The sequence below is a fragment of the Homo sapiens genome, chromosome 13 (assembly GCF_000001405.40).
Source record: "Homo sapiens chromosome 13, GRCh38.p14 Primary Assembly".
Taxonomy (NCBI): Eukaryota; Metazoa; Chordata; class Mammalia; order Primates; family Hominidae; genus Homo; species Homo sapiens.
In genome coordinates, this window is record NC_000013.11 from 62,772,629 (window position 1) to 62,788,364 (window position 15,736).

At 33.2% G+C, this 15,736-nt stretch overlaps 1 long non-coding RNA gene across 1 annotated transcript in view; it reads right to left on the reverse strand.

The window, feature by feature from the left end:
* LINC00448 (long intergenic non-protein coding RNA 448) overlaps positions 1 to 15,736 on the reverse strand; it is a 135,075-nt gene that overhangs the window by 100,344 nt on the left and 18,995 nt on the right. The window lies entirely within an intron of this gene.

Here is a 15,736-nt window from a genome sequence, read left to right on the forward strand (position 1 = left end):
TAAAATGTAACATATATGTCATTGTTTTATATCTGTTTAGAGAATTGATATTAACACTTAAGTGAATCATAAAGGAGAAAAGTAATTTAGTGCATTAATTTAAAATATTGTGGAAGTTAAGCCTGTGTTGTTAATGGTGTTAGTGTTGTAAAGCAATAGGTATATAATCCAGAAAATTCAGAAGCATTTTTATTGTGATTTTTATTTTAATTTGGTCTCTAGGTCTTTGTGTAGAGTGTCGATAAGCCTAGATAGCCACTTTCTAGGAGAGACCTGCTCGAGGGAAAGTTAAGTTCAGGTGTATGTGTCAGATGAGACAAAATGAGGAGGTAAAAGAAAAATGAATGAAACAGAAGTATATTACTTGCAGATTCCAGAGAGGTTAGAGGCCCTGATGGGAGGCCAGTGGGAGAGGAGCAAGAGAGAGAAGACCTGTGGGACTATACTTTATTATGACCCATAGATTTTATCTTTTAGGCTTTCCTGTGGAATTGGCTAGTTTAAAGAAAACAAGTACAAAGGGGAGCCTTATTTACGTGATTTTGCTATTTACTACCAAAATTCATTTTGGTTTTATCATGGCCAGTAGCTATGGGTGTTTTGGGTTTTGGGTCAATGGGATGAGGAACAAGCAGGCTATACTGCAAACAACCACAGGGAAAGGAAGAGTTTTAACTAGGCCAAAAATAATGGGGTAAGACTAGGTTTTAAATAACTTGTGTCAGGCCTAAAAATGGATGCCAAAACAGAAAATTTATTAAAAGAATTTACATTTTTCTGTTTAATATGTACGTTTGCTACTATAAGACATGGTCTCAGTTATACGTCAATCATATATTCAGAGCAACTCAAATTGAATATACAAAATTTTGATATCAACACAACAAACATCTTGATTAACATTACATTCAACTGTGCAATCACTCAGATATACGATTAAAATAACCAGTAAGTTTTGTTAAACCAATTAGGTAATTTAATTAAAATATAGTATGCACTTAAGCAACATCTTTATATAATAAAAACTTATACTCATAATATTTGAAGAAATGCAAAATTATTTTTGAATTTTTACTTTTTACTATTCACATTTATTTGTATCTGTTACTTGCTACTAACAATGTTAACAAAAGCTGACAATAAAACCAATCAAATCTGGTTGTTGCTATTTTACTTTTTAACAAATTAAAAATAATTTAAAGGATATTGATTATATGTTATTTATTTTTGATATTAAATATGTATGAAATGCATGATATTCAAAATACGGTTTTGGTGGGTTTTTTTTTTTTTTTTTTTTGAGACAAGGCCTTGCTCTGTCACCCAGGCCGGAGTGCAGTGGTGCAATCATGGTTCACTGAAGCCTCCACCTCCTGGGGTCAAGCCATCCTCCCACCTCAGCCTCTCCAGTGACTGGGACTACAGGCTTATGCCACCACACTTGGCTAATTATTTTTGTATTTTTTTAGAGACTGGGTTTTGCCACGTTGCCCAGGCTGGAATATTCACTATATAGTATATAATTTTTAATATTAAAATAAAATCCTCTAATATTATGCAGATTTGTTTCTCTAAATGGAAATAAATCACATGTGAAATATCAGCAAATGTGACATTAGAGTTAAATAAAGGTAATCATAAAAAGGTAACAAAATTTCTTTGGGAGTATGATGGAGAAAATACTTATGAAAAATTCCAAATGTAATACCTATAAGATATTATTTTCTAGCCATTATAGATAAAAGCATTTTTCTCAATTGATGTGATATTTGAACAAATTGAACAATATTATGATCATTTGGCTTTATTTTTAATGTAGCAACCAAAGAAATATTGAATAATTTTAAAATATCTGTTAATTTATATATTTCATTGAGACAATGACAAATTATAAGAATGAGTTATGTTATGAAATTATAATATTCTAATATATATAAAAATCTTTATATGTGATTTCTTTATATTTAATAATTGCATGCCAATTTAAGTACACTTCTTAGAACTCTGTTTTCATTTGTCTCACCAGTTTTGTATTTTTTACCCTTTCTATTTTTTTTTGGATTGAATCAGATTTATTGACATATATGTTTTCCACTTATTACTTATGCACATTTACATACACACAATATTTACTAATTCTTTCATATTAGTCTACAGCATACAATCTTGACTTTTACCATGACTGAATAATGCTATTAGAAACTTTTCATCTATGGCAGTCTAACTTTAAAAAAAATTGTTTTTTTAATTTTTGTGGGAACATTGTTGGCGTTTATATTTATGGGGTACATGAGATGCTTTGATACAGGCATTAATTGTGAAATAGGTACATCATGGAGAATGGGGTATCTATCCCTTCATGTATTTATCATTTGAGTTACAAACGACCCACATACATTCTTTATTGTAGTAACCTAACTTTCTTGATGGATTTTCAATGTACTTAAAATTTTTTGGTACTTTAAACCTCATAGACATCATCATTCTTAATTTTGTTTAATATAGGCAGTGTTCATGTATAATCAATTATATATTCACCTTTTTTATTGAGCATTTCTGAGTTTTCATTAGATTATTTTTCTTCTCTATAAAACGTCTATACTACATTTTTCTCAGTTTTTGTATGCTTGAACATATTTTTATTTTTATGTAATTTTGAGAAATATTTTTACTGTATGTGAAATCTTAGATTTGCCTCTATATTGTTTTACCTTTTGGAAATGTAATTTCCTTGTTTTTATTAGCTCTCGGTGTTTTAGTTTTATTTTTTACCTTTTCTTCAGAGACCACCCCCTGCAGTGTACGTGTGTATGTGTGTGTATTTCAGAATGTTACCTATGTCTCTTATAACCTTTATTTCTCTTTTCTTCATGTCCTGTGTTTTAACTTTATTATATTTTTGTGAAGTGTTTCCCAATTCGCTTAATCTCTTTTAGTCCATCTAATCTTCTGTCAGTTAAGCCACCAATTGGATTATTCATTTCGTTCCAGTGTTTGTACTTTATATCTTCTATACAGTTTTTTTATTCTCTCAAGTCATATATCTTAATTTTCAAATTCTAGAGTAAATTAATTATAACTAATTCAGACTGTCTTATAACATCATTATCTATATTTCTGTGAATATGCATCTTCTTTTTTCCTGGTTTACTGGGTAAATTTAAACTACATGTAAGACTTTTTGTAGGGAGAATTATAGAAAAGTAATATGTGATATTGAATGTGTTAAATTTTTTTGAGTAAGAGATTTACTTATGCTTCAGCAGGCAACGAGCATGGGTGAAGGATTGCCTTAATTGTACCATGAATTTGGCTATTTGAGTATTGGTATCAATTTTTTAAGGGTTGGTCTCATTATGCTTTGCTCTTACTCTAGGTTGTGGATTTCTGCGTTTCCCAAATGAAAAAGTGTGAAGTTGGCAATACCTCTCCTTACATGTGCACACTTCACTCTGGCATTTTCCCTCTCTCCCTGTAGCATGGCTGCTTAAACTCTTAAACCACAGCCACACATAAGGTTCCACTTTTTTCATGGGTGACTTGTTTGGTAACAAACTATTCAACCAATACCAGCAGCACAGATTCTTAGTGGACATGGAACAAACGTCCAGTTCTTCTTCACTCAGATTTTGCTACATTGTTTAATCAGTGTGGGGCAGATGGTTGACTCTATTTTGAACTACTTCCTTGTCACATTTCATTTTTGTTGATTGGCATTGCTAAAAGAAATATAGTATTCTGATTAGCACAGCAGGTCTCTGAACAAGACCACCGTGGTTTATATCTTGGCTTCTCCATTTACTTACACGTGACTATGACAGGTTGCTTCATTTCTGTCTTATTTTCCTGATATGGTAAAGGAGATAATATTTATCTTAATATTAAAGATTATTTTCAGGGGGAAATAAGGTTACTTACATAAAGCATCTGGAAGGTTTATATTCTTCATGTTCTGAGTATTTCAAATTATTTCTTACCATATAAAAATATTTCAATGTTTACATCAGCAAATGCTTCAATTTCTCTAGTGATAGATAGAGTTCTTAGCGATTTACTGCTTAGGAAGATTGTCTCATTCAATATGTGCTTCAAAATGTACATCTCATGGATCACTAATCTGAAATGATCATTTACTGTTGTATTTCATGGACTCCCTGCAGCTCACATGAAAGAGTATTTAAAATTTTGTGTGTATGCACAAATGTACATTACAGTTTTGTAGGAAGGTATTACAGCATTCATCAAATGTCTGGTTGTAAAATAAACTGAAAGTGTTCCAGGACCAATTTATTGTGTATTCTGTGTACTGAAATAAAGGGAGAATTGTGTTGTATGTGGTGGTAGTTCGCGTCATTGTTGTTGAGAGTGAAAACATTACTCTAGAAGAGGCTCTAAGCATAAAGTATTTTCCCTCCATGGCGTGATGTTAAGGCACATTTTGTACTATACAAAAAAACACTCTTCCAGCTGCAGAAGATGAAGGAATAATTCTATCTTATTGCTTTATATCCACATATGTGTACTATATTTGTAAATTATATTCTTTATTTCTGATGATGATCTTCCTTTCCATCTAACAAAATCATATGTAACTGTAAAAGCCTTCCTGTAATATGGCCCTATCTCTGAGATTCATCCTACTTAAGGCAGAATTAATTTTTATGACTGTTTAAATTGTGTAAACAAGTACTATGTCTTCATCATTATTTTGCTTCTATGTGGTACAGAATGAACATGAAGAAAATATTACTGGACTTGGTTGAATTTGTTCGGCGTATGAGAGACAATATATAACCATTAAATTTCACAGCCATTTTCTAGTGACAAGATGCCCCTGTATATGACAGATATTGCTAGAAGAATTAAGGTTTTCTTCCAAAACACACTGTGATTGTTTTGGTTATCCTGCTTCATAATTCAATACTCTTTCATTGACAAACAAAAACTAGCACTCTTCTTCTTTTTTTTTTTTTACATTAAGCAGCAATCCCATAATTCATGCATATACTCAATAAACATTTATGAAATACATTTCAGGCACTAGGCACTTTGTAGGCCTTTTGTATATGGAATTGAACAAAAGAGACAAGGTGCCTGTCTCTACAGTATTCATTCAACTGTGGAAGAGAACAATAAATAGACAAATGTTACCTTAATCTCAAATTATATCCAATCTCAGACCACTTCCTATCATCACACAAACATGCTGTTATTTTTTCAATTTAGATTTTCCCTTTTCCATCTAGACTGCACTTTCTGTCTTCAGGTACCACACCATTTTTGTTCACCAATTTGAAGAAAAAATTCTTAAAGGAGTTGAGAGTTGCCTTTACTTCTTTTCCTCCTGTTCTCTCAAATCTTAGCACTGGTTTAAACCATCATTATATCTTGTATGGAGTATTGTAGTAGCCTTCAAATTATTTATCCAATTTGTATCAAAATAGTCTATGTAGTATTTCAGCATAGTAGCCTGAAAGTTACTATTAAAATGTCCGTGACTTTATGTCACCCCTCTGCTTAAAATCCTCCAATATCTTCCAATTTCTCTCAGAGCAAATGTTGCATCTTCCCAGTGTCCTGTAAGGTTCTAAGTAACCGTGCCTCAAATACCAATGACTTCATCTCCTAACACGTTCACTTTTCTTTTATTTTAGCTTTATGCTTCCACTTCAAGCATGCCAGGCATACACCCATCTCAGAGACTTTGCATTTTCTCTCTTTTTATTCTGAAATGCTATTTCCTGTATATAATTCCTTTCTTATTTCAGGGATCCTCTTAAATGTATCTTTGTAGGAAGACCTGCCGTAGCAAACCTACTTAATATTGCATAGTAACTTCAATTCTTCCTCATTCTCATTCTAATCTAGTCGTACCAGCATTCGAACTGTTTCCAAATACACCAATTACAATTCTACTTCAGCAGCTATTTACTTAATATTCCTTATGCATAGAATGTTTTTCTCCTAGACATACAGTTGGCCTTCTTATTCTGTTTGAGTCTTTCTTCAAATGCCATTTCTTAGTAAATTATTTCCTGATGTTCCTATATGAAGTTCCTCTCTCCTTTTTACACTTGGTATCCTCTTTCTTATTTTATTATAATTAATTGAATGTTTCAAATATAAAACTTATTATTTTTACTGGCTTCCTACCTATGCCCTCCTAATGAAACAAGACTTTTATGATAGCTTGAATGTTTACTTTGTTTAATACATGAGCATGTAGTAGACAGTAGGTTAATATCCACATGTAGTATGAAAGTTAGTGTTTAATATCGGATAGTTTTAAGTACTATGGAGAAATAAAGATGGCTAAGTGGGAAAGCTGTTATGGCGGCGTGTGCCTACTTTTCATAATATTGTCAGGGAAAAGATCAATGATGGGATGACACATAAATGAAGAAGCAGGGTGACAGAGCAAGCTGGGGGGGAAGGGTTTCAGACATAAGAAAAATAGCCCATGCAGATCCCCATGAAAGGAGAATTTTTGGCATAATATAGGAACTCAGGTAGACTAGTGATTCAGGAGATAGAATGAAATTATTTAGGCCGATAGTGAGGGCAAAAGAGTCCTCAGCAAAACTTCCATCCCAGTATAACGCAGCCCAAGAAATCATTTCTTTGCTAACAAAGAGCAGCCTGAGAGATGGAGCTGCAAACATACATAAGGAAGCTGGAAGCTTGCACAGGGGAATGCCGGCAGCTGCACCAATAGAAAAGGGCTCCCCCGGGGTCAGGAATGTCCAACATGGAAGCTCTATCTTTTCTTTTTTGTTAGCACGTGTGCAGTAAGAAGGAAATGGGCAACATGGAGAAGCTCAGGCCGAGAATCCATCTGCATAATAAAAGATTGGGGTGGGGAGATTTGCATCCTATGTAGATGGCACACCTGGTCATAACTGGTATTTCACACCCTATATAGATCAGACACCACTTCCCCACTAGCTCATCTATAAAATCCACTTCATTTCACTGCGGATCGCCAATCCACTTTTCCAGGACCTCCTATATAGCAGAGAGCTATCCTTTCTTTCGCCTATTAAATTGTGGCTCATAACCTCACTCTTTGTGTGTCCATGTACTTAATCTCCATGGCCGTGAGACAATGAACCTCGGGTGTCACCCCAGACAAGGAGGTCACTTTGCTAGTGTATCTGCATCAGAGTGAACCCTGAGAAAATAGGAAATAAGGAAATAAGGTCAGAGGGGAAATGGGGCCCGTTCATATACACAGTTAAGTTATTAAAAGAACATTGGATTTGCTTACAAGTGATTGTAATTACATTAAAGTGTTTTGAGCAGAGTGATGGCATAATCCAATTTACATCTTGCAAATGATCTTTCTGGCTGAAGGGGGAAGGGTTGGTTGGGATAAAAGAGTGAGATCAGTGAAAAGGCTACTGCCATAAAAGGGGTGTTTGTAGCTTGGCCAGGGTGGTAGCATTAAAGGTGACAGGAACTGCTTAGGTTCTAGTTATGATTTTAAGATAGCGGTAACAACATTTTCTGATTGACTGAATGTGGAGCTTGAGAGAAAGTTGGTCTTCAAGGATGATTCAGTGTTGGATAGGTTGAGTTGGAATAGTCTATTTGACATCCAATTTGCAAGTTAAGGGGAGAAATCTAGAGTAGAGAATATGTATGAATTAGCTATTTTTATTTAATCCACTTTAAGTTTAAAGTAAAAGAGATGAGGAGCAAGAATGAAAACAATTAATATGAGAAATAGATGAGAAACCAATAGAAAGTATTGTCCTGGTAGCTGGGCGTGGTGACTCACGCTTGTAATCCCAGCACTTTGGGAGGCCGAGGCAGGCGGATCACCTGAGGTCGGGAGTTTGAGACCAGCCTGACCAACACGGAGAAACCCGTCTCTACTAAAAATACAACACTAGCCAGGCGTGGTGGCACATGCCTGTAATCCCAGCTACTCGGGAGGCTGAGGCAGAATTGCTTGAACCCAGAAGGTAGAGGTTGTGGTGAACCCAGATAGCACCATTGCACTCCAGCCTTGGCAACAAGAGTGAAACTCTGTCTCAAGAAAAAAAAAAAAATAACAAAAAAGAAAGTATTGTCCTGGTAAAAACAAAGAACTATTTAAAGAAATGAGTATGCCACATGACAATGATAGATCAAGTGACATGAAAGCTGAAAATTGGTCATTGGTTTTATGAGTAGGGAAATTACTGGAGATCAAATCAAAAATCACTGATTGCACTCAGAGAAAGTATAGCTTGCAACGTTTCTGAATGTCTATGACTAACGTGCAGTAGCTATTACAGCAGAACATCTATCCTCCATTCATAATTCTCCATAAACCGACAACACACATTATAACCTGATTATGACCTTGCAATTAAGAAATGTGAATATAATGATATTAAATTTTTCATTTAATTGAGAGAGGGACTTTCACAAGAATTGGTACTCTTGGAATCCATAGCATTATATGAGGTCTGATAGAAAGAATCGAAAATATTTTTAAGCCTGAGGGTGAAGGCCTAATATTTTAAAGCCAGATATAATTTCTCAGGTTGCATAATGATATCAGTTTACTAAAAATAAATAAATAAACCTTAGGTATCTGAATTCTCTAAGTTCTTTACAATGTCTTGGTATTATCAAAATGTACTGGGCCTGCCAGAGAGAAATTATTTGATTTGGCTATACCAGGTCTGAAATGTTATAAATGCTCTCTACCTTAAGAAATTTAGTGAGACCATAATTTATTTTATAGACATCTCTTATTTATTGTTCTAGGATATTAATGGAAGATAGCTTAGATATAGAAGAGAAATACAAAAAATCAACAACACTTTATTTCTCTTGACAGACATTAATCTGTGTTAAATTTCCATGCAAGGTATTACAAAATTAAGACAAACTTAAGCTATTATAGAAGGAGCATAATTTTAGCCATTTACACCTGGCATTATAAAATACGATGTAATATCATTTTGCAAGCAGTAAGATATAATATCCAATCAGAAACTAATTAGAAATATAGTATTTTATCAACTATATCTTCTGTCATTTCAGCTTCCTTTTGAATCAGAATTGTCTAAAATTAAGATATCTTAAATATTTTAGATGAATGATCTGTCCTCCTGGCAGAATTAATATAAAAATAAAAATGATTTGCAAAGGGAAAGCTTTGAAAAGTTTAATAACCTATATTTAAAATGTAGCAAGACTTTTAGTACTTTCATCAATTTTGATATTAAAGTCTTCCCAGTCATTTCTCAAACTATAATAATGTGTCCTTAAATAATGACTTTCAACTTTAAAATGTTGGTGATGATCTTTGTATGAGAACAAGTATGTATTTATGAACTTTAGTTACCCAGTGAAACTCATGAATAAGTTTAACACTGTGTTTAGAGAATGATTTACTTTATAAGTTAATCTGGTGTCAGACATGTTGAAATTATAGGAATACCTTTTAAAAAAGTCACGTACACTACAGCTTGGTTTGTGAGTCACCAGTTTGTGGCACTGCAGAAAGCTACATTAAATAGAATTGATTCTGAGTGGTTGGATGAAACTAATTTGTATAGTTATTTATTTTATTAATATTTTAAAGTAGACTTTAATATATTGTTGTAAATTAAATTTATTTTCTATTTTTCAACCAGTCAATGTTTTAGAAATAATATTTATATTTGACTTAGAAATAAAAACTTTAAAATCACATAGAATTAGGTATTTTTTGTTTATTTATTTATTTACATTTAACATCTGATTCCAGAAATTAATACTATGAGGAAGTATGACTTAAGGAGAGTGATAGGACATTATTTCAATGCAATGTTTTATTCACCTAAAATTATATATAATTCATCTAATTTTACCCATAAATAAAATTCTATTATAAAAAAGTTTTCTCAATTGTTATTAATGCCAGTTATTGTAATAAGGTAAGAACACCTCAAACATTCCAAATATATTTTAATGTAACTTTGTTAAATCAAAATATGAGAAAAATATTTATGTTCACATAAGGTAAACAAAATAATAAACATACCAATTTATACATGATTAATATACTAAGTACTAATGACTACTAATGTATTCTAGTTGTAAGAATTTAGAATATATTATATAATAATTTATAGTTTAAGTATCAATAGTTTATAACTAATTTATAGTTTAAATATTATTTTATTTTATAAATAAGTAATATGGTTCAATTAAGCTGTATGATCATGTTTACCTGGTTTTTCACAATAGGTTATTATAGCATATGTTCTTAGAAAATCAAAACACTAAATGTATATTATAACTGAAATGTATGAGCAGGACTGTGATGGTTACTTTTGGGTGTCCACTTGACTGGATGAAGGCACACCTAGATAGCTGGTAAAGCATTATATCTGGGTATGTCTGTGAGGTGTTTCCAAAAGAGACTGGCATTTGGCTCAGTGGACTGAGTAAAGAGGATCTATCCTGACCTAGTGTGGATGGGTACCATCTAATCAGCTGAGGGCCCAGATAAAACAAAAGGAAAAGGAAAGTTGGATTATCTTTCTCTTCTGAAGCTGTGACACTCTTTTCTCCTGCCCTTGGATATCAAAACTCCAGGTTCTTGGCTTTCAGAGACTGGGACTTGTACCAGTATTCCCACAGTTTCTCAGGACTTTAGTCTTGTACTTAGAGTTGCACCTTTGGCTTCCCTGGTTCTGGGGCTTTTGAGTTTGGACTAACTGATGCTACCAGCTTCCCTGATTCTTCAGCTTGCAGATGGCTTATTGTGGGGCTTCTCAACATCCATAATTAGATGAGATAATTCCACTAATAAATCCCCTCACATCTCTCTCTTTCTAGAGAACCCTAACTAACACAAGGATCTATTCCTATTATTAATAGAGTTTAAACTTGAAAACAGAAATGATTATTTTGCTTTGATAACTCAAAGCTATAAAGGTTCACTGGAAATTTTCAATTTTTTAAAATATAGGGAATCAAATAAATTACTTCATCGTACTTTGGTGTTTCATATGCGTCAATATTAGCTGGCACTGTAGTGAATCAGTCTAATCTCAATGTTTGGCTAAATTATACTGAATTCCAGGCATAAAACTTTTCCCTGTATTTGGACCTGGGGTGCTTTTCTCTAGTGGATTAACCATTGTAGCCAGGATCCTATGAGTATGCATCTGAGAAGATGGGATGAGGGAGTTCAGGAAATAAAGGAAGTTGGTAAAGAGGATTCTCAAAAGACTGACTGACAGTACCCTCAAACTGGGTATCTGTGCCAAAAATCTTACCCACTACTACAGAGGAAAGATAATTGGCTAACTAGTTTAAAACCATGGAAACTTGATAAGAGTTAGAGAAACTCAACTAACCCTTGAAAGATGAAAATTCTAGAGATGAATGTCTTACAAAGATGATTTTTCACATTATTGGGACCCTAGCTGGCTTGAAATGGCCTTGAGAAAGGCTTGGCTTTCTATGTTTTTCTGCTGTGTACATGCGCCAAAGGTCGTGGTGAGTTTTTGTTGTTGCCTGCGTCATTGTCAATCATATTACTTGATTGCTCTTATTTCTTCCATCTAAGGACATAGGTATACATTTGTTTTGCTTCTTTTTAAAACATTTTAATGAAATAAGATGGGGAGGAAAAGAGGAGAAAAGAGAACAAAATGAATGCAAGTGATTATCTTTTTTATTTCTCAGAATAGTACTTTTAAAATGACTTATTTTAGCAAACTAAAAGATGATGTCTGACTACTGAGGAATAATACAAATCACTGACAGCTTCTTTCATTTAAGTTAATAACTGTAATCCACAATTTGTATAAACATTTTTCATTGAAATTGGAATGTCCCTCTGCCATAGATAATGAGTATGTTTCCTTTATTTCACTTCAGTATTTTCCGAAGAACATCATTTTACATATCACTAAATAGAAGCTATGTCTCCACTTTTGAAAACCCTCAGACACTCAAAAGAAAACTTTAAAATGACAGGGAAGAAATATTAATAAAACATGCATTGAAAACAGATTGCACTTTTATATTAGTAAATGTAAGTTAAAATTTACACAAGACAGTACCACGGATAAAGAAGACAGAGTATACAATGACCATGGTTTTACCTTTTTCTAAAGCAGTTTTTTTAAATGTCTCAGCCTAGACTATATCGTTATCTCTTTTATTTACATAGTGACCTTACTTGGATAAAGTTCATAGAACTATGTTAAATAAGTGTTTTCATATAATAAAAGCACCGTTCAACATTGCAACTTAAAAATTAGAAAAGATGATAAGTAAAAAGTCAGGAAATTTATTTTATATTACTATTAAAAACAATCTCTAACTTGTATTTAAAACAAAATTATTGAAAATACAATTTAAATTTTAATGTACAACATTATAAATTTAGCACATTAATCAGATACAACAGATTAATGTTTGTATTTGGAATTACCTAAAAACTAACTATTGAATTAAAGAATCAGTAAGATGATGACCCCAGTCATTTTTGAAAATGTATACCAAGATTACTTCAAATAAAAAAATTATCAAAAAGAGTAAATATATAATTAAAAATGGTTACTAATATGCTGGGATGCACCTTATTATTAAATCACTAACATTTAAATATTACCTCTTGCATATAATTGATCTCCTACATATATATTTTTTTCACAGGTAACCAAAGAATTTGAATAACCTGGTCAATTGCCTTATGTGCTAAAGACCATCATCTTGTGGTTGTTATTTATTTCTTTACTTTGCACTTAACACTTTTACCACAGCAACTAATACATTCCTTTACCAGCAATTATTGCAGTTGGAAGCAAAATTAACTCCTTCAAGTCATTGTGTTGCCAAATGACATACTCAAGGGATATTGTCTCCAGAAACTATTGCATTTTCTTTGAACCACACTTTGACCCAAATAAATAAATACGTGTATTTTTGTTTTCATTTGCAACAAGTAGATATCCCTGGTTAGATATCCAATAGAGCAACTAAAATATTCATATTTTGGATAGTGGAAGGGATAATATCTTTTCATATACTACATGTACTTTCACATTAAAATGTTTTTATGCAGAGAATGGTGGCTCATGTCTGTAATCCCAGCATTTTGGGAGGCTGAGGCGGGTGGATCACCTGAGATCAGGAGTTTGAGACCAGCCTGGCCAACCTGGTGAAACCCCGTCTCTACTAAAAATACAAAAATTAGCCGTGTTTGGTGGTGGACTCCTGTAATCCCAGCTACTTGGGAGGCTGAGGCAGGGAGAATTGCTGGAACCCAGGAGGCGGAGGTTGCAGTGAGCCGAGATCGTACCACTGTACTCCAGCCTGGGTGACAAAGTGAGACTCTATCTCAAAAAAAAAAAAAAAAAGGTTTTCATTAGTTATTCATATAAAATGCTAAAATATTACATTTTGATTTAAATAATTGGGTAGAAGGAAATAATGTAAATACACTTTGGAGATGGGAAGATTTCTATTTTGAAACAATTATTATCCTGAAACCTTGAGTCACATATTCATGCAATTATTTCTTATAATTTTATTATAATTATCCAAGTTAAAGATATTGGATATTCCACATGATGCATGAGTTAAAGAATTATTCCAGAAGGAGATCTTTCCAAAAAGAATCCTTGATAGAACATGAACAGATTGAAAGTAATCAACACTTTGCAGAATAATCCCCGCTTTTTCACTTTACTTATTCATGGTAGACAGTGAGGTTCTAAGAAAAACTTAGAAACTTAGATAGTTAGAGGTTAATAACACTTGCTCTGTGCTGATCCTGGCTAAAATTGTGACTTGGGACAGTTATTACTTGTACTTATCTATCAAATTTTGGTTCCCCTCCTCTTTAAAATTGTATCTAGAAATGTCATAGCATTGGAGTGTGTACAAGTTTCTGGTGAGGGCCAAGAAAGAAATTGTGATTGTCTTCATTTTGCCTGGTAAATCAAGTGGATATTTTCTCCCAATCCTTTTAATACTTATTCAAATCAATCTCTCTTTCTCTCACATGCACATACACTGTAGACAGATACTTAGATATTTGCTATGTGTGTGTATATATATATATAGAGAGAGAGAGAGCATGCTATATATACACACCAAAGTATGTATACATTTCTATATATGTATATTTATTTTAGTATGTATTTTTGCTATATATATTGACACAACTCTATATACCTGTATCAATATTGATATCAATTTTATATATTTGTATCTATTAACTGTCTATATATATGTATATATGATGTGTATGTATATGTGTGTGTGGAGAGAGACAGAGAACTATAAATATGTGTTCATAAAATTTTTGTTGAATGAAGAAAAATCCTAGATCTTTTTTTGAGCACATTAAATCAAAGTTAAAGAACTTGCTCAGTGATTAGAGCACTGGGAGAGAAAGCATAATTATCTTCTTTTGTGACGAAGTAACCATAATGGCTTGACATGTGCCCAGGCTTCTGTACTTGCATGGAAGGAGTTAGAGATTAAATGGATCTTTTACATTTTCTGGTGCTTAGAAATATTTTTGTGGTTTTTGACTTTGCCTTAGAAGAAAATTTTTGTCCAAGAACTCTGCCCATTTATAAGGTTACATTTGAGCCTCTAATGCTGTTGTGCTGTTTTGATGACAGTTGTTCATTTCCAAATGTGGCTGTACATTCTTTCTATCTACAATGATTACAACTGAATTGTGCTTACCTGGAACTATCAAAGGACAGAATAAAATATTTATGTTCCAGTGGACAGTCACTGAGGTGTTTGTCCCAGCAGGGTGATTAGAAACCTTTCTGTGAAAAATACTGATTGTGACACATATCACTATCTCCATCCTTTTTCACCGTCCCCTGTACTGAAAGGGAAGTGTTGGCTGAAAACTCTTGAGGGTTTGGTTTGAGTTTAGCCATTAGAGATACTTGTAAGACATTTGGAAGACGAAAGAGAGAGGCTGTCCTTTTAGAGTAGTAGTTGCTGAAAAGTGTGGGCATTAACATATGGAAAAGTTTTTCTCATTACTTTCAAATGTCCTTTTAAGAATCTCCTGTTTCAAGATTTCAAGCAGCCAAGATTCCCTGGCTGAACTGTTTTTCTCCAGTTTGTCTTCTTGCCACTCTTGATACCCACATGAGAGAATGCAAGATATTACTAAAAGCCTGGAACTCTTGGGGGAAAACAGGAGGCACCATGGACCCCATTCTGCGAAAAACCTGTTTTCCCGTAGAACCTCAGGAATTGACATGAAATAAACCTTTCTCAAAATATAAGGCTCCAGAATGGAGCATCCAGAATCCCTGGGTGTCATCCTGGAGGCAGTCTCTTTGGTTTTGCAGGAAGCTAAGATCACTAGTTGTAGCCTCTATGACCCTGTATTTTCTATTACTTCTACAACCTTCCAATGGTAATTGTCTCTAATCACCTTATTAAAACTCATTTTATCATAAAACAAATAACAGCAATAAAAAACTTGAGAGATGCACTCGGTTGGATAGTGTCCCCTGCAAAATTTATGTTATTTCATGAACCTCAGAATGAGACCCTGTTTGTGTAACCTCTCAATGGGGTCTCTGGGAGTTATCTAGAATCTAATGCTCCACAATTGTTAAATTGAACAATTTTCAAAAGACAAAGAAGGCAAATTTTATATTTGACCTTAATTTAGACCAAATGTTCAAATTTTGAAGACATTTTCATTTTACCAATAATCTTTAAAGTTGTCTTTATTTCCGAAAGATTA